Source organism: Homo sapiens, chromosome 19 (assembly GCF_000001405.40).
Source record: "Homo sapiens chromosome 19, GRCh38.p14 Primary Assembly".
Taxonomy (NCBI): domain Eukaryota; kingdom Metazoa; phylum Chordata; class Mammalia; order Primates; family Hominidae; genus Homo; species Homo sapiens.
In genome coordinates, this window is record NC_000019.10 from 18,896,382 (window position 1) to 18,919,387 (window position 23,006).

Genomic DNA, 23,006 nt, shown 5'->3' on the forward strand with positions numbered 1-23,006 from the left:
CGCGCCCCCATGCCTGCCCCGCGCGCCCCCCGCTCCCCCACCCCACCGCGCCGTGCCCGTGACGGGGGGCACGGGGGACACTAGCAGGCAGTCCCCTCGACTGGCGACCCCCGCTTCTCCCGGCCCTCCAGCACGCCACGCCGCTCCCGCTCCATCGCCCCGGCCCGCTCCGACCTCACCGTTCTTGGAGCCCTCGCTCCTTCTCAAGGACCCGAGGCCTGGCACGCCTTGGCACAGTCTTGGGACCATCCCGTGGCCCTCCCGCATTCAGGAGGCGTAGGCTCAATGAAACATTCTCATTCTTCAAAAGGACACGGCCCACGCCAGGGCGTTGGGAGGCGCACCTAGTGGAGACGCAGCTCTCTGCCCTACACCAGGAGCTTGGCAATGGGGTTCCAGCTTGGACGCGGGTACCCTGGGCACTTCCCAGGCATCTTCTTCTGCAGGTCTGCACAGCGGGCTACTGGGACAAAGGTGTGATGGGGGCTGCTGAGATTAGGGGGTTCTCTGAGGGTCACTTGCTGCTGTGACCCTGGGGAACCCGGGGGGGGGGCTCCCCAACATCAGGTTAATACATGAGTTGCAGAGAGGCTGCAGGAGTGGGTGCCAACGTGGGAGGGACTCCCAATCTGGATCGACTGTGACATCATTGGGACCACCATAAGTGACTTTCCAATGCACTGTTCATTGACAAGGCCCTGTGCCCAAAGCCACTGAAGGCCATCGAGGAAGACACTGGTCACCTCTGTTAGGACCGCCATCTCCCCAGGCACTGCTGCACCCCCCCTCCATCCTAGCCCGCAGGATGTCCCCACACCTGGCCTTCAAGGTGCAGGATGCAGGGATGAGTCCTGCAGCAGCCGCGCTGGCTCCCGAACACCTGCACCTGAACTTCAGGGGCACAGGTGAACACACCTTCCCCTTGCCCCACACCGAGTCCCCCACAACACATCCAGGTGGCCCTGCATCTGGCCACTTCTCTGCATCTGCACAGCCTTGCCCCCCGCTCCCCGCCACCACCACCACTACCACCACTACCCTCTTCCGTCTGGTATCCTGGCTTCCTCCTCACCCCACAGAGGTGAGAAGGTGGCTGCGACGCTGTTGGCCTGTTCCTCGTCTGCTTGCAGCCCTCTATGGCTCCTGTTCCACTCAGGGAAAGCCCAAGTCCTCACTGGCTGCCCTCACAGCGCCCTGTTTCCCTCCGCCTGTGGGCTTTTCTGCTGTTCTTCCAACATGCCAAGCTCTGTCCTGCCTCAGGGCCTTTGCACTAGCTGTTCCCCCCTCCTGAAATGCTGTTCCCCTAGGTACCTGCATGGCTCTTCTGCCACCTGCTCAGGCTGCCCCCGACTCTGAAGTCACACGCCCCTCATGTCTTCATGTCTGCTTGGCACTTGTCACCATCTGCCCCTACATACATACAGCTCATTTTTTTTTTTGAGTTGGAGTCTTGCTCCGTTGCCCAGACTGGAGTGCAGTGGCGCAATCTCAGCTGACCGCAACCTCCGCCTCCCAGGTTCAAGGGATTCTCCTGCCTCAGTCTCCCGAGTAGCTGGGATTACAGGCGCCTGCTATCACACCCAGCTAATCTTTGTATTTTCTGTAGAGACAGGGTTTTGCCATATTGGCCGGGCTGGTCTCGAACTCCTGACCTCAAGTGATCTGCCTGTCTTGGCCTCCCAAAGTGCTGGGATTACAGGCATGAGCCACCGTGCCTGGCCCCACTCTTTATTCTTGAACGTGGACTCCATGTGGACTAGGGGCCTAGTGTAGGGGTGGGGCACGAGGCTTGGCCTGGCCAATAGTTCAGGTCCAGCCGGAGGCCAGAGATGTGACTAACGCCACAACCTGCCTGGCAGGCAGAGGGGGACGAGGGGGATATGCTCTCAAAGGTCCAGCCAGGCCTGTGGGGCAGCCGTGGACAGTCCCAGCCACCTCCCTCCACCCTCTCGGCCAGCACTATCTGGTCACCATGGCGCCCATCGGTCACGGGAGAGGCGCCACCCACCCACCCACTAGCCCCAGCTCAGCCTCGAATTTCTTTTTGGCGGGTCCAGCCAGGAGGCTGCCAACGGGTGGGTGCAGGGCAGGAATGGAAGGCGGCTCTACTGGCAGCTGGGGACCAGGCACCCAAGGCTGGGCGGAGGTCAGTCTTGAGGCCAGTGTCCCCCCACCCACCCCAAGGTCTCCTCCCTCCAGAAAGCTCGGCCTGGACCCCTCCTAATGTCCCTGTCCAGGGAGTCCTCTTTTGCCACTTCCCTCCCCTACCAGGCTGGGGGTGGGGGTCGCTTGCTGTCCTGCCCTGGCAACCAGAGACGGGGTCTGGTTTCAAATGAATAGGCCTGGGTGTGGCTTGGGGAAACCCAGTCTTATCTTTTCCCTGGGAGATAAGCCCAGGCCAGGCTCAGAGGTCAAAGGGCATGCATCCCCATCCAGCGCCCCTTGACCTCACAGCCCTGTGCCACCGAGGGACCTCTGCACCGGTCATGCCCACTGCCAGGGTGCCTGTCCCCCTAGAACCTAGCCTGGCAGCTCCTTTTTGTTGTTCGGGTGGGCACAGCTCAATGGTGACATCTGGGAGGCTCCGGCCAGCCCTGCTGCCACCCACCCACCTCCCTCCCTAAATGGTGCGGCCGCCTCTCATCGCGGCTGGGTGCTTGGCCCCAGGACCCTGCCACAGCAGGACTCTGCCTTGGAGGAGGGTTTGCGGGGCGGCAGGAGCAGCACCTGGGGTTAACGCTGACCCTGCAGGGCCCCTCCGGCTTTGCTGAGCTGAGGCCTGAGTTTTTCCTGCCCTGGCCCCCACTTCCTCCAGGCCACTAGGGGTTCTCATTTTGAATCTTGGTGCCCCTCATGATAGCGGCATGACTTCTCTGTGCCTCAGTTTCCCCCGATGCCAACCAGGGCTGCTCAGTGGCCTCTAGGGGCCAGGGTGAAGCATGGGGACAGGGCTGTGCTGCCTCTGGCCTGCAGGAGCAGGTTGTGGCTGTGTGAGGGGCGGGGTGGGGGTCTGCACACCTGCTGCTCGTCACAGACCCTGGTCTCCAGGAACAGCCCTGGATGCCAGTGCCCCAGGACTCTCCCTGAGCGTCAGCTCCCACACGCCCCCAGCAAAGTGACCAGAGCACATCATCAGGTGGAACACCCTGGAGTTGAGATATTTATTAACAGATGGGGGTGCTGGGGGTGGGCTCCTGCCCCCAGAGGGGATGCAGGTGGATGCCGGGTGGGGAGGGCTGCAGGGCTGGCTCCTGGCCTCTGTCCTGGCTTCATGGTCCTGACAGCTCTGGGCCAGCCTCAGGCGCTGGGAGCGTACTGTAGCACCAGCCTGTCAAAGTCGTTCTCCTTTAGCAAGACACATGGCAACACAGGGTGGGGGCAGGGTGTGGGGAGACAGGTGGAGGGAGAGAGAGAGGGCGCATGTGAGCCCAGGCTGAGCTCCAGGCGCCCCCTGGCCTGGTTCTCGGGGACAGGCCATCCCCACCACTCACCTTGGCCTGGTACTCCTTGATGAAGGGATGGGACCTGTGGGCATCCTTCAGCTGGGACAGGTATCGGTTTGTCACCTGCAGGGGAGGCAGGGAGGCAGGTGAGCCGAACACGGGGACCCCACGGTGGCTCTGACCTGCTGGACAGGGGTGGATTGGGGTGAGAGCCACAGTACCCCAGGGGGCTCCTCACCCTGCCTTGGGACTGGGCTGATCTCGGAGAACCTTCAGGGTGGGGGTGGAGGGATGGGCCTGCCCCCTGGAGAGGCGCTGGCATGGAGCTGGCCTCCGTACATGGTGGGGGATGTATTGTGGTGTTCAGGGGAGCAGGTCGGGCAGGGCCCCAGGTGAGGATGGGTTGGGGGGCACAGGGTTTGTGAGGGAGGTGGGCTGCGGTAGGCATACTGTATACAGAGTTTTCCCAGGGGCCTAGGGATTAGGGCCTGGACCCCAGGCTGGGGTCCCAGGGTCTGGACATTAGGGTTGGCCTGGAGCCCTGGGGGCCGCTTACCTCAGGGGGCTTGCCCAGGTGCTGGGACAGGACGATGAGGTTGACCAGCGTCTCTGGGTAGCCACTATCCTGGAGACACAGGCAGACACGGGGAGGCAGGGTCAGCCACTCCAGCCCCCATGCCTGCCCGTCACCCCCACCTCAGGCAGCACCACACAAGGTCACCTCCTCAGAGGTGGGGTGGGACTGACACCGCCCACCGCTCTGCAAGGTGGAGATCTCAGATGATACGGTGCCAAGGGGCCAGCCGCCTCGCTGAGCCTCAGTTTCCCCATCTGTAGTCCAGCCTGGGGTACGACCCCTTGTTTACAGAGACTTGGGAAGGTTGTATTTGTCCCACACATCTCAAAGCCATGGGGCCCAGACCCAGATGGCCTCAACTCCTGCTGTACAACGAACCCCGAGGCCATGGGCAGACCTGCCACCCCTGCACCAGCTCCCAAGGAGCCTTGAAGGAGACCTCGGCAGGGGACCTTGCCTGACTCACTCACTCTAGGCTCCCAGCACACAGGACCCTAGGAAACATCTAGGCCAGGAGACCCAGCCAGAGCCCTGGTGTCTGCTTGGAGCACAGACACACCAACGAGGATGCGCCCAGAGCCCGACCTGCCCACGGCGGCCCATGGCAGGGCACCTTTTTGCAGACCGGACTTTTCTGAGCCTCAGTCTCCACCATGAAGGGGGACACCAGCTTGCGCTCACAGGAGCAGCCATGAGGTGGCTCCAAAGGGAAGTGGGGGGACCTGAGTGCCTCCCAAAACCCAGCAAGAATGCAGGGTGACCACAGCCACGGGGAGGCCACCAGGGCCAAGGGGCACGGCCAGCCAGCCCCAGGTGGTGTTTCAAGAGACAAGGACAGAAGGGAGTCATCTAACTGGTGAGTCACGGAACGTGTCACCTGAGAGGTGTAACAAAAGCCCCCAGAGGATGCGGCCATGAACACAACATGCATCCAAGTGTTCTCAGGTGGCAGGGAGGGGCAGGGTGGTGGAGGAGGGCGCCAGTCTTGCCCCTGGGGCAGCGAGGGACACACAGCCTGTCTGAGATTGCACATCAGGCTGGGAGTTCCTGACTAGCCCTGACTGCTCAGAGCTAAAGATGGACCCTGCTCAGGAGGAGCAGTACCCGGCCTGTGATGGGGCCAGCCTGATACCCCTTGGCCAGCCCCGCTCTGCAAACAACTTTCTGATGATAACTCAGCCCCTGGAAAGTCAGACAGGGAGGAGGGCTTCACCAGTGTTTGTCACTAGATTAAAACTGTTTCTCAGCTGGGCGCACTGGCGCATGTCTATCATCCCAGCACTTTAGAAGGCCAAGGAGGGTGAGAATTGTTTGAGCCCAGGAGTTCAAGACTAACCTGGACAACACAGTGAGACCCCATTTCTAACAAAAAATACAAAAATTAGCCACGCATGGTGGCATACCGTTTCAAAAAACAAACAAAAAACCCCCCAAAATTCGTTTCTCCAAAATGGAAAAAGCTTTGATGTCCTTTCTGATTATAAAAATAATAATCCAGGCTGGGCACAGTGGCTCACGCCTGTAATCCAGTACTTTGGGAGTCCAAGGTGGGCAGCATCATGAGGTCAGGAGATTGAGACCATCCTGGCTAACACAGCAAAACCCCATCTCTACTAAAAATACAAAAAATTAGCTGGGCATGGTGGTGGGCGCCTGTAGTCCCAGCTACTCGGGAGGCTGAGGCAGGAGAATGGCATGAACCCAGGAGGCAGAGCTTGCAGTGAGCCGAGATCACACCACTGCACTCCAGCCTGGGCGACAGAGCAAGACTCCATCTCAAAAAAAAAAAAAAAAAAAATCCACCAAGCATGGTGGCTCACACCTATAATCCTAATGCTTTGGGAGGCTGAGGTGGGACGATCACTTGAGGCCAGGAGTTCGAGACCAACCTGGGCAACACAGCAAGAACAACCCCGTCTTTACAAAATATATATATATTTTTAATTTAACATAACATAAACTCTTCATAAAGACTGCAGATGGCCAGGCGTGGTGGCTCACGCCTATAATCCCAGCACTTTGGGAGGCTGAGGCGGGTGGATCACCTGAGGTCAGGAGTTTGAGACCAGCCTGACCAACATGGCAAAACCCCGTCTCTACTAAAAATACAAAAATTAGCCAGGCGTGGTGGCAGCCGCCTGTAATCCCAGCTACTTGGGAGGCTGAGGCAAAAGAATCACTTGAACCCAGGAGGCGGAGGTTGCATTGAGCTGAGATCACACCACTGCACTGCAGCCTGGGTGACAGAGTGAGACTCCATCTCAAAAAAAAAAAAAAAGAAGAAAGGAAAGGAAGGAAAGGAAGGAAAGGAAGGAAAGGAAAGGAAGGAAAGGAAGGAAAGGAAGGAAAGGAAGGAAGGAAGGAAGGGAAAGAAGGAAGGAAGGAAGGAAGGAAGGAAGGAAGGAAGGAAGGAAGGAAGGAAGGAAGAAAAGACTGCAGACATCAGGCAGGAGATGACTGCAGCCACCCTGGGCAGGCAGCGCTCTCTCAACGAAGAGCTCCTGTCCACAGCACACTCTCCCCTACATAAGTACGGGGAGTGTCTCTCCAATACTGAGTATGTACTCAGGTGAGGGGTCCCACTTGCAGGTCCCGGGCCAGGCAGCTGAGGTGACAACAAGGACGGCTCAGACCACTGAGGCCCAGGCTGCCCAGATGCCCCATTTCTGTGAGGCCGGAATCTGGATTTCTTTGCAGGTGAGATCCCTGCTTTGTGGATCTCGCTGCTGACTGGGCCTTAGAAGCCCTGTGGGGCCACACGCACACCCAGGGGGTCTCTGCTACACTTGTTTCTGTCCGCCCTGACCCCACCCTCTGGCCGCCTGGCCTTCCCTCCGTCCCCACTCTGGGACAGGCTTGTGCCTACCTTGTCTAGCGCCTCCTGCAGCAGGCCCTCAGCGGCCTCCCAGCGGCCCTGGGCCATGTGGCAGGCCGCCTGCCCATTGAGCAGCAGCAGGGTGGGCGAGCACTTGTCAGCCATCTCCTGGAAGATGTAGTAGGCATCCTGCAGCTTCTCACCACCCTGCAGGGAGGGTCCCGCATCATTGCCTGTGCCCCTGCTGCCCGGCCCTTCCCCCGCCAGCCCCCTCCCCTAGCGGGGGGGACTCCAGCACTGCACAGAGACGAATCTGGTGTGCCCGGTTCAAGGCACAGCCACTCCGCCATGGGGACTACCCGTAACTTGTACTCTGCTGATGGGGCCTAAAGACTCGTGGCCGCCTCCTGCCCCACCTCCCACCCAGCTCCCGGAGTGCTGAGTACACAGAGGTGGAATCTGGGGCTTCCAAGGCCTCAGTGCACAGGTGGCTGGCTCAGGGTCTGAGTGGGGACCACTGGGTCACTGAGCACGTCAGAGGAGGAGGAGTCAGCTCTGTGACCAGCAGCCCTGACCTGTCCACTTGCTCAGAACAGCAGAACACTTGCAGGGGGAGCCTGAGGCCAAGGCAGGCAGTGAAAACAGCCCAAACTACCCGATAGGTCTGCCGGGGCCTGTCCTACCATACTAGACGGTCACTGGAAGTCTGTCTGGGTGAGGCTTCAGCCCCGTGGCGGGCAGGGACGGGGAGCACATTTTTTTTTCTTTCTCAGAGTTTCACTCTTGTTGCTCAGGCAGGAGTGCACTGGCGCGATCTTGGCTCACCGCAACCTCCACCTCCCGGGTTCAAGCGATTCTCCTGCCTCAGCCTCCTGAGTAGCTGGGTTTACAGGTGCATGGCACCAAGCCCAGCTAATTTTGTATTTTTGGTAAAGATGGGGTTTCTCCATGTTGGTCAGGCTGGTCTAGAACTCCCAACCTCACATGATCCACCCGCCTCGGCCTCCCGAAGTGCTGGGATTACAGGCGTGAGCCACTGCGACCAGCCAGGAAGCACATTTTAATAGGCCCACACAAAAGAGTGGCTCAGAAGGGGGCCAAGTCCCAGAAACCAGGAGAGGGGCTGTTGCCGGGCGGAGGTGCCCAGGCCTGGGAGCTGAGGACATCTCCACCGCTGCTATGGGAACACTGAACTCCGTCCCTGGCTGGCGACCAGGACCCTGGAGAGCAAAGCTGAGTCGCAGAAAACCCCAGGAAGCCCTGAGGGGAGGAGGGCCTGCCAGGCCAACCCAGACCCTCGAGTACCCCTGTGCCTCAGGCTCAGGAACCCGTCCCCGCCCCCACCATCTCTTCGCTCTGGCTCTGGCCAAGTCGCTTGGCTGTGAGAAGCCCGGAATGGAGTCAAGGCTGAGTTATGCCAGGCTGGCAGGGGCCACGGCCTGATCCTGGAGCCCCACTGGAGTGGCCAGCAGCCTACGCACAGGTGGGGGTGCCCACAGACCCTGCTCAGCCAGGTGCCCGCAATGCCCACCCACCTCATGGCCTAGGGCTCACCGTGGCCAGGCTGACCCAGGCAGTGGCGAGCTGGGTGAGGGTGGCATCCTCGTCCAGGTCCTGCATTCTCTTCAGCTCCTTCCTGGGGCGGGGACAGATGACAGAGGGGCTGAGTGGCCGAGGGCCCTGGCCTGGCCATCCCTGCCTTGTCCCCACTTGGGGCCCACCGGAGCCTGGGGATGGCCCCTGCTTTGTGCTCCACTGCATGCTCATACCCCACGACTAAGTGCCCGAGCCACCCTGCCCGTCTGACCACGTGCAGGCCCTGGGAAGGTGGGACTGGGGCCAGCTATGGCCCCCCAGGGTGGCCACCACAAGGTAGAGCTCAGGAGAGACTCACTCCATGGAGGATGGAACGCAGGGAAGGGCAACGGAACTACAGTGTGAACAACTCTGAGGCAAGGGCTTTGGAAACGGCAGCAGGGGAGTCCTGGACCCCCAGCCATGGCCTCCGACCTGGTGATGCCACGTGCAGGCCCCGCCAGCCCCACGGCACAGTTACAAGCTGGTCAAGTAACATGTTGCTCCAGGCACAACCTCCACTCTCCCTCCATGAAGCCCACCCTCACCCTGTGGGAGAGGCCTGCCACCCACTGCATAGAGAGAAACTGAGGCACAGAGAGCCATGGCCCTCCTCCCTGGCAACATACTGCAGGGAAGGGCTGAACGACAGCAAGCCACCCCCATGGAAAGGAAAGACAACAAGAGTAATGACAGCACCACAGACGCTCTGGGCTGTGACGCTCTGGGCTGTGACGCTCTGGGCTGTGGCTCAGTGCGGGTGGAGAGGGGCAGGAGGGCTCACCGGGCGAGGTCCAGGCGGTCCAGCTTCAGCAGGATCTGCACTGTCATGGCTGTGCTGCAGGACAGGGCGAGGGGGCGGTCAGCGGGTCGCCACAGACACATTGCATGGCCGCTCCACACCCAGGGCTCACTGTGTGTGTCTGGGATGTTCCTAAGTCCTGTGCTTAGGACCACCAGCCCCGCCCAGCAGAGGAGGACACCCTCACTCCCACATTTCACCGCTCAGCTTCCTCAGGCCCAGGAGCTCTGGGGGAGGTACCCAGGATGGGGTTTCAGGCCCCGGCCCACTCACCGCCCATCTGGAGAAGCAGCCTCCATGGGCTGTGCTTCCAGATGGAGGGCCCTGCCCGGACTCGACACCCTGGAGGCATCAACACTCAGGAACAAGGCCCTAGAGGAGGGCCACGCACCCGCCCCTGCACCTGCACCTGCAGCAGAGCCCTGGGGCCACCCACTCTCTGCAGGCCCCCTCGTCCCCTCATCCCTCTCAGCCCCAGGTGGCTGTGACCACGAATTACTCGTGAGGCCTCTTGTTCTTGTTTTCCTGCCAACAGGAGCCAGCACCTGGACCAGCACCGAGTCGGCCGGCTCGCCGACAGTGTGACATCCCTATTTATTTTCTTTTTTGTGTGTGAGTCAGGGTCTGGCTCTGCCACCCAGGCTGGAGTGCAGTGGCACCATCACGGCTCACTGCAGCCTCCACCTCCCAGACTCAAGGGATACTCCTGCTTCCGCCTCCCAAGTAGCTGGAAACATAGGTGCATGTCACCATGCCTGGCTCGCCCTGCAATTCTAAGCCCTCTGTGGATGGAGGTGGGATGGGAGCAGATCCACAGCGACCATGAAATGCCCAGCTTGCAACTCACAGTGGAAGGCAGGCACTGCAGGGACAGCTCACGGGGAAGAACTGACACACTTTCTGTGACCAGTGCCCTGGACATGGCCCGGAGTCACATCCTAGGGTGGAGGGGGGCACCAACCTTGCAGGGCTTCAGCACCCCAACCCCAGAGGGCCCTGGAGGAGGGCCGGTATGGGGGGCCCGGGGAGGCCTGAGAGACTGGGCCCAGGGCCGAGACACAGAAGGCTTCGTGGGGGGTGGGGACACAGAAACCGAGCAGAGACAAAGCCGCTTTCTGCTCTGCCCTTGGGAACAGAGGGTTGCAGCCTGGGCACCGTGTCCTTGGATCTGCAGCCTGGTGCGCAGATGGGAGTGCCTCCCACACTGGGCAGGGGAGCTGGAGCCTGGACAGCAGGCCAGGGCCTCATTTCAGCACCACCTTTCTCTGCTCCCATGACGACAGCCAGCGAGGCCGTGCGCAGCCTGGAGATGTGGCAGGGGGCACTTGCCTCCCTGGGCTGGCCCCAGAGCAGGGAGGCCACTCACCACTCCAGGCTGTCCCCCTGGTGCAGCGCACGCAGGGCGGCATCCGGGTTCTGGTCGTGGAGATAGATGGAGGCGGCCATGAGCAGGAAGGTGGTGTTGGTCACGTCCACGCTCCTGCTCATCTCTCGGTCCAGCTCGGCCACGATGCTGTCCCTGCAAGACAGAGATGCTCACGACCCACAGCTGGGGTGGCCTCTGTGGGACCTCAGAGGGTCCCCTTCCTTGGAAGCAGACAGGTCCAGAGAGGGTGAGCCAGGCCCTGGGGGTGCAGAGCAGCAGCAGGCCGAGCATCGAGCTGTCCCGACATGTCCTCCCTCCGTTCCTATGAAGCACCTCTCATGCTGGGCCAGGCAAGGACCCGAGGCCGGGAGATGTGGGGTGGGGCGCTCCAAGGGGACATGAGGAGGCACCGTCAGTCTCACACCAACCTCACCCGCCTTCCTGAGGAGGCTGGTGGGCCCAGCTGGGACTCCTGACCATAACCCATCAACCCTGTGGGCTTCAAGGCCACGTCTTCTAGCAGGAGGTCGGCCTGGGTGCCGAGGGGCCGTGCAGAAGGATGGGAGCCCTGGGGCACCCCCACTGCCAGGGCAGCTGCCCTCAGTCCCTGAGAGCCCAGGGTGCTGGCTGCACCCTGAAGATGGCCAGTGTGCTGCGGGCCAGGGCCAGGCTTGAGCCCAGGCAAGGCTGAGGACCGGCTCAGCTCCGAGGGCACAGGTCACCCATGCCTCCATGTCCCTAACTGGACCCAGACCCTCCATTCCCCATGGCTATTGAGCAGCTAAAAAGAGAAGGCAGGTGAGGGGGCCACCCTAGACCAAAGCTGGTGTTCTTCTGGGTTCAAACGTGGCTCTGTGACCCCGTAAGCATCCACGCGCATCTGGGGGCTGTCTGCCCAGGGCCCGTGTCTGAGGTGTCACTGAGGGCATGGCATGTCTGATACCAACCAGGCTCCACTGAGGGCTCGCCACAGTGCCAGGTCCAACAGACAAGTGACTTCAGGTCTGAGTCTGTTTCCCCGTGCTGAGGGACCATGTTACAGGGATCATGCAGGGGAGGAGCAAGGAGCTCCCAAGACCATCTTACAAAGCTTCCTGAGGCTCCAGCACACAAGGGTGTATAAACACTGCCAGTTGTCGTAGCGTTGGTACTGTAATGTTGTCATCCTAAGGTGTTACAATTACCAATGGGGCCGGGTACTGTGGCTCACACCTGTAACCCCAGCGCTTTGGGAGGCCAAGGCAGGATCGCTTAAGCCCAGGAGTTCAAGACCACCCTGGGCAACATAGTAGGACCCCTTTTTCTACAAAAAAGTAAGAAAGTCAGCTGGGCCTGGTGGCGCCTGTAGTCCCAACTACTTGGGAGGCTGAGGCAGGAGGATGGCTTCAGCCCGGGAGGTTGAAGCTGCGGTGAGCTGTGGTCACACCTCTGCACTCCAGCCTGGGTGACAGAGGGAGACCATCTCAAAAACAAGCAACAGCAACAAAATCAATTACTGGGCGGATCGCTTGAGCCCAGGAGTTTGAGACCAGCCTGGGCAACATGGCAAAACCCCATCTCTCTTTTTTTTTTTTTGAGACGGAGTCTCGCACTTTCGCCCAGGCTGGAGTGCAGTGGTGCGATCTTGGCTCACTGCAAGCTCCGCCTCCCGGGTTCATGCCATTCTCCCGCCTCAGCCTCCCGAGTAGCTGGGACTACAGGCACCCGCCACCATGCCCGGCTAATTTTTTTTGTATTTTTAGTAGAGATGGGGTTTCACGTGTTAGCCAGGATGGTCTCCATCTCCTGACCTCGTGATCCGCCCGCCTCGGCCTCCCAAAGTGCTGGGATTACAGGTGTGAGCCACTGCGCCCGGCCAGGCAAAACCCCATCTCTAAAAAATATACAAATTAGCCAGGCATGGTGATGCGTGCCTGTAGTCCCAGCTATTCGGGAGGCTGAGGTGGGATGATCACTTGAGCCTGGGAGATCAAGGCTGCAGTAAGCCAAGATTGTGCCACTGTATGCCAGGCTGAACGACAGAGCAAGACCGTATCTCAAGAAAACAAAATCAAAACCAAAACCAATTACTAATGGATGCTCCTTGTCCCCGGGGCGTCCTGCCAATGAGGTCGCGGCTGTGCAGCCAGATGAACGGACCACAAGCCCCTGCCTGGACCGCCTGCTCTCCGGGGCTGCTTTTCTGTGATGCTCACAGCAGCTGCTGCTCCTGGGGGACCCAGGGTTCCCTGCCTTCACTCCAGCTGGTGAAGTAAGTGCAGGGTGGGAGAAACAGTGGCCCTGGGAGGTCACCTGTCTCAATGTCCTGGAGCTGCTGTGGCAAAGCACCACAGCCCGGGCAGTTAAGGACAACAGGGATTCGTTCCTCACAGCTCTGGAGGCCGTAAGTCTGAAGTCAAGGTGGCGGCAGGGCTGGCTCCAGCTGGAGGCTGGAGGGCAAGGCCGTCCCAGGCCTCTCTCCCAGCTCTGGTGGCTGCTGGCCACTCGTGGTGCTCCTTGGCTAGCAGACATGTCACTCCAGTCTGTTGTCACATGGGCTTAACTCTGTGGGCCTCTTTCCTTTTTTTTTTTTTTTTTTTAAGACAGTCTCCCGCTGTCACCCAGGCTGGAGTGCACTAGTGCGATCTTGGCTCACTGCAACCTCTGCCTGCCAGGTTCAAGCGATTCTCCTGCCTCAGCCTCCCAAGTAGCTGGAATCACAGACATCACATCCTGTTAATTCTGTATTTTTAATAGAAATGGGGTTTCACCACGTTGGCCAGGCTGGTCTTGAAAACTCCTGACCTCAGGTGATCTGCCCACCTCGTCCTCCCAAAGTGCTGGGATTACAAGTATGAGCCACTGCACCCAGCCCTCCTTTTATCTCTTAAAAGGACACAAGTCCTTGGCTTTGGGGCCCACCCTAAATCCAGCATGTCTTCATCTCCTTATCTCTTAATCTGATCGGCAAAGACCCTTTTTCCAAATGATATCATATTCACAAGCATGTGGGATAGGATATGGACGTACCTTTTGGGGGACACCATTCACCCCACCATGCTGCCTCTGCACAGGAGTCAGCTCCCAGGAACCCCAGGTTTCTTTGAGTGAAGGGAGGCGGTAGTTGGGACACTGCCTCCGTGGGCCAAGGAAGAGCAGGATCACAGCAGTCTCCCCATGCCAGACCCTCACTCCGACCCCACAGCAGGAGGGGGCAAGGTTCCTGGGTCCCCACAGCCCAGCCCCCTCTCCCCTTGGCTGCCGCCCATGGGCGTTTGACCAACGCTGGCCTGTGGCTCAGGGGCAGGACAGGCGTGGCCTCACCCACCCTCCCACTGGGCTCCAGGGGAGATACTGGCAGGTTGCAGTCCCCAACTAGCTGGGACTAGAAAACTGATAGGATTTGGGAGGCTGAGGTGGGCAGACCGCCTGAGCTCAGGAGTTCGAGACCACCCTGGGCAACACGGTGAAACCCAGTCTCTGCTAAAATACAAAAATTAGCTGGACGTGGTGGCACGCAGCTATAGTCGTAGCTACTCAGGAGGCTGAGGCACAAGAATCACTTGAACCCAGGAGGCAGAGGTTGCAGTGAGCCGAGATCTCACCACTGCAACTCCAGCCTGGTGACAGAGTGAGACTCCATCTCTAAATAAATAAATAAGAAAACTGATGGGAGGGCCCTGCCCCCGCTGCGCCCTGGGCTGTCTTGGGGCTCTGGGTGTTGCAGAGGGCTGCTCGGTAATTGATATTTTCAGTTCTAGGTTCAGAGAGTGCCTTGTGGTCCATGAGGGCGTGTGCACACACAGCACTGTCTCTGACCCTCCCCTTTGAAGCAGGATCCATCACCAGCCCCCCACTGCTGTGCAGGTGAGGGAAACTGAGGCACAAAGCAGCAGGGGAGCAGAGGGGAGAGGCGCCTAATCTGAGGGATGCTGTGCGCTGCACGCCATGCCCCCACCCACCCAGGTTCATAACCAACAGGCCTTGAAGATGGCCCCGCGCCTCAGGCCAACCCATTCTCTGGGGCCTCACCTCCGACTCTCGTGGGCGAGGTAGTCAGCAAACATGCGCACGGCCTGGAGCTCAGGGGCCGAGGAGGGCTTGATCTCATCCAGGACCACACCGAACTTCCTCTGCAGTAGGGACGAGGCGTCAGCTGCACCCGTCCACCCCAGAGGATTTCCATGTCTTCAGCTTGGCAGGGAGAGCCCCAGACAGGAAGTCCCTGCCCCACCAGGGACCCCTCAGCCCAGCATGGGCCACCTCCACTGCAGTACACTGTGGAGGGTGGCATGGCGTCACCTGTCGTGAGCAGCCAGGTGTGCCCTCATCTGCAGGGCCACACTGCCCATGCCTTGAGCTAGGGACCCTGGTAGGTTACTGTCTATCCCCTGGCAGCTGTCCACCTCTGGTGGTGAGGTGAAGGGCGTGTCACCTGGGGGCAGGGCAGCAGCAGTTATGGGGGTTGTGACATGCGCTTCTATAAAGCAGGACATGCCCCCAGCCAGCCCTGCCCACCTACTGGCCCTCTGAGGATGCCCAGACTGATACCACTGTCACATCTGCAGCTGGGGGCCCGTCCCTCATTGTGTTCCCTCCTAGATGGTTCCTTCCCCATTTTTTTTTTTTTCGAGACGGAGTCTCGCTCTGTCGCCCAGGCTGGAGTGCAGTGGCGTGATCTCGGCTCACTGCAAGCTCCACCTCCCAGGTTCACACCATTCTCCTGCCTCAGCCTCCCGAGTAGCTGAGACTACAGGCGCCCGCCACCACGCCCGGCTAATTTTTTTGTATTTTTAGTAGAGACGGGGTTTCACTGTGTTAGCCAGGATGGTCTCAATCTCCTGACCTTGTGATCCACCCACCTTGGCCTCCCAAAATGCTGGGATTACAGGTGTGAGCCACCACGCCCGGCCTTTTTTTTTTTTTTTTGAGATGGAGTTTCGCTCTTGGTGCCCAGGCTGGAGTGTAATGCTGTGACCTCAGCTCACCGAAACCTCTGCCTCCCAGGTTCAAGTAATTCTCCTGCCTCAGCCTCCCAAGTAGCTGGGATTACAGGCATGCACCACCACACCTGGCTAATTCTGTATTTTTAGTAGAGACAGGGTTTCTCCATGTTGAGGCTGGTCTCGAACTCCTGACCTCAGGTGATCTGCCCGCCTTGGCCTCCCAAAGTGCTGGGATTACAGGCGTGAACCACCGGGCCCAGCCCCCATTCTTATTTTTTTAGAGACAAGGTCTTGCTATGTTGTCCAGGCTGGAGTGCAATGGCGTGATCACGGCTCACTGTAATCTTGACCTCCTGGGCTCAACTGATCCTCCTGCCACAGCCTCCCAATTAGCTGGGACTCCAGGCACATGCCACCATGACTGTCTTATTTTTTAATTTTTTTTTGTAGAGACGGGGGTCTCACTATGTTGCCCAGGCTGGTCTTGAACTCCTGGCTTCAAGTGATCCTCCCACCTCAGCCTCCCAAAGATTACAGGTGTGAGCCACTGTGCCTGGCTCCTACCAATTATTTTAGGAAAAAAAAAAAAATCGGCTGGGCGCGTTGGCTCACGCCTGTAATCTCAGCACTTTGGGAGGCTGAGGCAGGTGGATCATGAAGTCAGGAGTTCAAGACCACCCTGGCTAATGTGGTGAAACCACGTGTTTATTAAAAATATAAAAATTAGCCAGGCGTGGTGGCGCACGCCTGTAGTCCCAGCTACTTGGGAGGCTGAGACAGGAGAATCACTTGAACCCAGGAGACGGAGGTTGCAGTGAGCTGAGATCGAGTACGACAGAGTGAGACTCCGTCTCAAAAAAAAAAAAAAAAAAATCAAGAAGCTGTGACCCAGGCCCCCTGGCCTGGCAGTCTCAGGCCTCCGTGACACAGCCACCTTCACATGCTGGCTGCGCTGGCTGTTCACAGTCACTGAACACTGCAGGCCTGGGTCCCTGCTTTGTTTACTGTCCCCGCCACCCACTCTGTGGTGCCTTCCTGTCCCCAGCCCCACCCTCTACTCTGTTCATCACTCTTGCCCCCGGCCAAGGCCCGCACTCACCTGCGCCAGGTACGCTCTATACAGGAAGACGTCCCTCTCCACGTCTCTCTCTGGGCTTGATAGCTGTGGGAACCAATGTGAGTCAGGACGCACAGTGGGAGGCCCAGCGCAGCCCACACAGGGTGAGCATGACAGACAGGCCCCTGTACACTGGGGACAGGTGGCTTCTCCGGCAGGGTTGGAGGTCTGAGTCCCAGCCCTGATCCTCCGTAGCCCGAGTGGCCTCTGCTGGGGGTACCCTACACGGGGGGTGCCTGATCTCATCCCGCGCTGACACCACCCCAGGAAGGAGGCTTGCTCCCAAGTTCAGTGTCTGCCCCAGTCACACTTAAGAAGCCAGGGTGGCACCCGCACCTCTAACCTCTGGACATGGGGCCACTGTGGCTTGATTCTGTTCTGCTTTTGTCTCAAGACATTTTGAGCTCAGTTTGGCTGCCCCAGTGTGGTGACATCTGTGCCCAGCCCTGGCCAGGGGAGACCCTGGGAATGGCTCTGTACTTGGGCCACACCCCCACAGCCCAGCCATTGCACAGAACTGAGGAGCAAGAGGGAGGTAACCTGTGGCAACATCCATTTTGGGATGATAATGAAGCTGCCCCTGAGCCCAGGCCAGGGAGGGAGGCTGGGACCGCTCTCCAGAACACAGCTTTGCATGCTGCCCCCGGAGGCTGGCTGACTTCCCAGGGTGCCCATGGCAGGTGGGCACAGTGCAGCTCAGCCCATGGCCTGAGGGTGCTCGCCCAGGCCCCTGGGGGCTTCGAGAGGAAAGTACAGTTGGGAAGGGGCCCAGCCACCTTGGCATCGCCACTCCAACAACCTCTAAACAGAGGGGACTGAGAAGGCTGTCAGCAAGAGGGCCTGCCAGCTGTCAAGGCACAGGGTCAAAGGACCCAGTGCCCAAACCAGGGGGAGTCACTCTGCCCTGTCCTCTGAAGCCGAGAACCACAGATTCCAAGCCACATCTCTTCCTTCTCCCCAGCCTGAGGGAGGAGCGTGGATGTCAAACGTGTCCTCATCCCAGGCCGCCGCAGACCTGGCCCCAGCCTGACTCAGGCTGCCATTGCCAAGAGGACCCAGCAGCTTCTGCTCAGGCCCTGGTAGCCAGAGTGGGTATCTGGCTATGATTTGGAACAAGATGCCATCTAAATAAATAACTCCTAGAAGAATGTCAAAGGCATGCGGAGGGTGGTGGCTGCAGAAATCGAGCCCCACCTGCAAATGGGATGGACAGGTGAAATATGTACCTTTTCAAGTATGCAAAGAAACATATTATAGGCCGGGCATGGTAGCTCATGCCTGTAATCCCAGCACTTTGGGAGGCCGAAGTGGGTGGATCATTAGAGGTCAGGAGTTCCAGACCAGCCTGGCCAACATGGTGAAACCCCGCCTCTACTTAAAAATACAAAAATTAGCCAGGTGTGGTGGCGGGCGCCTATAATCCCAGCTACTCAGGAGGCTGAGGCAAGAGAATCACTTGAACCCGGGAGATAGAGGCTGTAGTAAGCCGAGATCACGCCATTGCACTCCAGCCTAGGTGACAGAGCAAGACTCCATCTCAATAAAAAATAAATAAGTAACTCTCAATCAACCTTCTGAGGTGGACTTCAGTTAGGTGACTAGCCCAGGGCCACATGCCACCCTCAGTTAAAAAAGACAGGCCAGGTGTGGTGGCTCACACCTGTAAACCCAGTGCTTTGGGAGGCCAAAGCAGGAGCACTGCTTGAGCCCAGGAGTTTGAGACCAGCATAGGCAACATAGCAAAAAGCATAGTCTTTTTTTTTTTTTTTTTTTTGATGGAGTCTTGCTCTGTCACCCAGGTTGGAGTGCAGTGGCGTGTATCTCGGCTCACTACAACCTCTGCCGCCTGGGTTCAAGAGATTTTTCTGCCTCAGTCTCCCGAGTAGCCGCGACTATATGTATTTTTAGTAGAGATGGGGTTTCACCATATTGGCCAGGCTGGTCTTGAACTCCTGACCTTGTGAACCAGCCGCCTCGGCCTCCCAAAGTGCTGGGATTACAGGCATGAGCCACCGTGCCCGGTCTGAGACCCTGTGTCCATAAAAAAATTATAAATATTAGCCAGGTGTGGTAGCATGCACCTGTAGTCCCAGCGACTCAGGAGGTTCATGAAGGAGGATCGCTTGAGCCTGGGAGGTCGAGGCTACAGTGGACTATGATCATGCCACTGCACTGCACTCTGGCCTGGGTGACAGAGTGAGACCCTGTCTATCTTTAGGGAAAAAAAAGAGACAAAAGCTGGCTGTTGGGCTTTCAAAGTGAGGACACAGTGGGGCGCCATCGGGGGCACCAGGGTGGCCTCAGCCGCCCCTGTGTGAAATGCAGGTGCCCAGGAGACTGTGCGTGCGGAAGTGCTCAGAGGCTGCAGAGTGCACTGGAGAGACAAGAGTGCCGGGAAGCATAACAACAACAAATGTGCAGACCGTGACCCTGACGTGAGGCTCTGGAACCGTTGTGGTTTTCCTCGACTTCCAGGGACGATCCTACCATCAGGACGCATGTGTGTCCCCGGGGTGGGAGAGCATTGCTCTTCAACCCCAAGGGCTCACTACGATCACCTGGGAGCCCAGGAACCACCAAAGCCAGGAGGCCACATCCACCAAGGTCACCTGGCCCTAGGATGGCCCCAGCACTGGCCCCAGGTGGCTTAAGATGTGGCCATGGTTGAGGAATCAGGGTACTGTTTGGGAAGGCGGGTGACAGGATGGGGGCCCTGTAGCCAGAAACCTTGGGGGTAGTAACTCCTCCCTTCTGTCCCTGTAGCCAGTGATCTGACCGCACTGGGCCGTCAGCAACTCAAGGCCTATGAGCTGCTTCAACCCCAACAGCTGGGCGGTGCCTGCCATCTTGTGGGCAAACTGGCAAATGTCAGAAACCCAGAAACGTCATGATGGTAGCCTAGTGCTGGGGGCAGCAAAGGGCAAAGACTGCCAGGTGCTCTCCCTGGGGCCACCTCAGGTGGGGCTGAGGTTGCTCAGGCCACTGTCATGAACTACCACAGACCAGATGGCTTAAAAAATGTATTCCTCAAAAATTAGCCAGGTGTGGTGGCGCACGCCTGTAATCCCACCTACTCGGGAGGCTGAGGCAGGAGAATCGCTTGAACCCAGGAGGCAGAGGTTGTGGTGAGCTGAGATCATGCCACTACACTCCAGCCTGGGCAACAGAGCAAGACTCCATCTCAAAAACAAAAAAACAAAAATTAGCTGGGCGTGGTGGCAGGCACCTGTAATCCCAGCTACTCTGAAGGCTGAGGCAGGAGAATGGTGTGAACCCAGGAGGCGGAGGATGCAGTGAGCTGAGATTGTGCCACTGCACTCCAGCCTGGGTGACAGAGTTAGACTCTGTCTCAAAAAAAAAAAGTATTCCTGGCCAGGCGTGGTGGCTCACACCTGTAATCCCAGCACTGTGGGAGGCTGAGGCGGGCAGATCACTTGAGGTCAAGAGTTCGAGATCAGCCTGACCAACATGATAAAACCCTGTCTCTACTAAAAATACAAAAATTAGGCCAGGAACGGTAACTCATGCCTATAATCCCAGCACTTTGGGAGGCTGAGGCAGGCGGATCATGAGGTCAGGAGTTACAGACGAGCCTGGCCAACACAGTGAAACCCCATCACTAGGAAAAATACAAAAATTAGCTGGGTGTGGTGGCACACGCCTGTAGTCCCAGCTACTAGGGAGGCTGAGGCAGGAGAACTGCTTGAACCCGGGAGGCAGAGGTTGTGGTGAGCTGAGATCGTGCCACTGCACTCCAGCCTGGGCAACAGGGCAAGACTCCATCTCAAAAACAAAAAAACAAAAAAAAAATTAGCTGGGTGTGGTGGTGGGCACCTGTAATCCTAGCCACTTGGGAGGCTGAGGCAGGACAATCGCTTGAACCCAGGAGGAGGAGGATGCCACTGCACTCCAGCCTGGGTGACACAGAGTGAGATCCTGTCTCAAAAAAAAAAAAAAAAAAAAAAAAAGTATTCCTTCACAGTCACAGTCCTGGAGGCCAGAAGTCCCAAATCAAGGTGTCAGCAGGGCCACACTCCTTCCAAAGGCTCTAGGGGAGGATACTTCCCTGCCTCTCCCAGCTTTTGGTGACTGTTACATTCCTCAGTTTGTAGCCACATTACTCCCATCTCTGCTTCCATCATCTCTGTGTCTCAAATCTCCCTCTGCCTTTTTTTTTTTCTTTTTCCAGTGGCGGGTTCTGGTGAAGACAAGAAAGCCTACTAGAAACATTCTTTTTTTCTTTTTTTTTTTTTTTTTTTGAGATAGGGTCTCACTTTTGACATAGTAAGAGCACCAACATCTCAGACAAACACTGCCACTTTAAGTTCCAGCCCCCTTTCTAGCCTCATGAATTTTAAGGAAATTTCTTTTTTCTTTTTTTTTAATAGAGAAGTCTCGCTCTTGTTCCCCAGGCTTGAATGCAATGGCTGGATCTTGGCTCACTGCAACCTCCACCTCCTGGGTTCAAACGATTCTCCTGCCTCTGCCTCCCAAGTAGCTGGGATTAAGGTGCCTGCCACCATGCCCGGCTAATTTTTGTATTTTTTAGTAGAGACGGGGTTTCACCAAGTTGGTCAGGCTGGTCTCGAACTCCTGACCTCAGGTGATCCGCCCGCCTCCCAAAGTGCTGGAATTACAGGTGTGAACCACCGCGCCCGGCCAGGAAATCACTTCTAACTACAAGCAGCCAGAAAGAGGAGACAGTAAAACACAGAAAGACAGCTCGGACAGAGAGAGAGTGGGAAGAAAATTTCTTGGGTAACTGCCAAACTTCACCTTCATACAACGGGCCCCAGTAAAACAGTGGGCCTTAATAAGCACATTCCTTTCCCTTCAGGTGCACTAAAATAGGCAAGCTAAAAGCAGAGTAGGGGGGTATGCCTGCAGCTGCAGAAAGATGTATGGGAGGCTGGGCACGGTGGCTCACACCTGTAATCCCAACACTTTGGTAGGCCAAGGCGGGCAGATCACAAGGTCAAGAGATGGAGACCATCCTGGCCAACATGGTGAAACCCCGTCTCTACTAAAAATACAAAAATTAGCCGGGCCATGGTGGCGCGCGCCTGTAATCCCAGCTACTCGAGAGGCTGAGAAAGGAGAATTGCTTGAACCTGGGGGCGGAGGTTGCAGTGAGCCGAGATCACGCCACTGCACTCCAGCCTGGCAACAGCGCGAGTCTCCATCTCAAAAAAAAAAAAAAAAGAAAAGAAAAGAAAAGAAAAAAGAAAGATGTATGGGAACAGACACACAACTCTCCCTCCCAGATAAGCACAACGAAGAGACACAGAAGCAGTTCAAGCCTCTGATAAACTCTCCGACCCTGAATCCTTAAAAACTCTTAGTCTGTAAAAGAGTGTTACTCTGACCCAACTCCGCCAGAAGGCGCCTCTCAGGTTTGTTTTCTCTAAAATAAACCTGTCTTGACTGGCAAGCCACCTTTCGTGTTTCTTTCCTCTTTAATTCTTACAACTTTGTCACCCAGGCTGGAGTGCAGTGGCGCGATCTCGGTTCACTGCAACCTCGGCCTCCGGGTTGAAGCGATTCTCCTGTCTCAGCCTCCCGGTAGCTGAGATTACAAGTGCCCGCCACCACGCCCGGCTAATTTTTGGTAGACTCATGGTTTCTCCACGTTGCCCAAGCTGGTCTCGAACTCCTGGGCGCATGCGATCTGCCCGCCTCGGCCTCCCAAAGCGCCAGAATTACAGGCGTTTGAGCCACTGCGCTGGGAAACTGTGTTTATCATTCTGAGTCCAGCGGAATACAGTGCCCGTCCAAAAAAGTGCTCAATGAAGAATGAATGAATGAATGGGTAAGCTCTGGGAGAAATAACCAGGCTGGTTGGGCAGGGAAACGTCCTTCTCTGAACTTTAGGGTTCTCATCCGTAAAATGAGGATAAGCAACAGTCTCCATCTCACGGGAACTGAAGGTATGGCTGAACAAAATAGGCTTATTGTCACTACAGTGGCATAAACACCTCCCTTACTCAAAACACTTTCAAGGGCGCAGAGAGAACGCTGTACGAGTGAGCAGTACCGTAAACTGTTACTGCTCTGGGTTCTGTCACGGGACAGTGACTACTCCTCACTGAACTGTGGAAGAGGTGGCCCAAAAAACGCGAGAAGAAAAGAGAAAGTTTTTAGACGCAGAACGCGGCTCGCGGCCACCAGAAAGCGTCCTCCGCCTCCGCCCCCAGCGTCCCCGCGCCCCTGCGCGGCCGCACCTTCACCCGCTGCGCCTCGTTTATGCACTGCTGGTAGCTGCCGATGTAGAAGGCGTTCTTTACGTCGAACAGCTCGTCTACCTCCCCGGAGCCGCCGGAGGCCGGGCCGGGGGCCGGAGGCGCCATTTCGCTGTCTTCTCACCAGCTCCTCTTCCTGAAAGACAC

General features: G+C 57.8%; 2 protein-coding genes across 9 annotated transcripts in view, besides 2 other annotated features; both read right to left on the bottom strand.

Moving 5' to 3' along the window:
- CERS1 (ceramide synthase 1) overlaps window positions 1-601 on the bottom strand; it is a 28,438-nt gene extending 27,837 nt beyond the window's left edge. For 2 of the 3 annotated variants that reach the window (NM_001387442.1, NM_001290265.2), the window contains exon 1: window positions 180-601. The gene's annotated coding sequence lies outside the window, so the exon portion shown is untranslated. The remainder of the gene's footprint in view (window positions 1-179) is intronic. The other variant, NM_001387443.1, reaches the window with a different exon arrangement.
- COPE (coat protein complex I subunit epsilon) lies at window positions 3,133-23,006 on the bottom strand. 6 transcript variants are annotated; one of them, NM_001330469.2, is made up of 11 exons: window positions 22,842-23,006; window positions 16,603-16,665; window positions 14,590-14,690; window positions 10,579-10,731; window positions 9,486-9,554; window positions 9,195-9,248; window positions 8,390-8,471; window positions 6,887-7,042; window positions 4,000-4,068; window positions 3,492-3,566; window positions 3,133-3,345 (listed from the first exon to the last, which is right to left on the bottom strand). In NM_001330469.2, the coding sequence occupies exons 1-11, from the start codon at window positions 22,965-22,967 to the stop codon at window positions 3,298-3,300; spliced, it is 996 nt and encodes a 331-aa protein (NP_001317398.1). In that variant the 5' UTR covers window positions 22,968-23,006; the 3' UTR covers window positions 3,133-3,297. The 6 variants fall into 6 exon arrangements, with proteins under 6 accessions (NP_001317398.1, NP_009194.2, XP_011525958.1 ...); NM_007263.4 differs by lacking the exon at window positions 9,486-9,554; XM_011527656.2 differs by lacking the exon at window positions 6,887-7,042.
- Window positions 21,216-22,106: an enhancer, noted in NCBI's record as "H3K4me1 hESC enhancer chr19:19028406-19029296 (GRCh37/hg19 assembly coordinates)". NCBI's record gives its function as "activates a minimal SCP1, AML or CMV promoter by ChIP-STARR-seq in naive H9 embryonic stem cells {active_cell/tissue: H9 hESC(naive)}" and the evidence as "EXISTENCE:reporter gene assay evidence [ECO:0000049][PMID:30033119]".
- Window positions 22,739-22,928: a silencer, noted in NCBI's record as "silent region_10425". NCBI's record gives its function as "represses an Ori minimal core promoter by ATAC-STARR-seq in GM12878 lymphoblastoid cells {active_cell/tissue: GM12878}" and the evidence as "EXISTENCE:reporter gene assay evidence [ECO:0000049][PMID:35858748]".

What these genes read in the sequence shown, in the direction of transcription:
- COPE (NM_001330469.2), bottom strand. Translation starts at nt 22,967, where the DNA reads ATGGCGCCTCCGGCCCCCGGCCCGGCCTCCGGCGGCTCCGGGGAGGTA. An exon ending in GACCGCCTGGACCTCGCCCG is followed by an intron (nt 8,472 to 9,194) that starts GTGAGCCCTCCT and finishes TCCCCGCCCCAG; the next exon opens with GAAGGAGCTGAAGAGAATGC. An exon ending in CCTGGGTCAGCCTGGCCACG is followed by an intron (nt 7,043 to 8,389) that starts GTGAGCCCTAGG and finishes CCCTCCCTGCAG; the next exon opens with GGTGGTGAGAAGCTGCAGGA.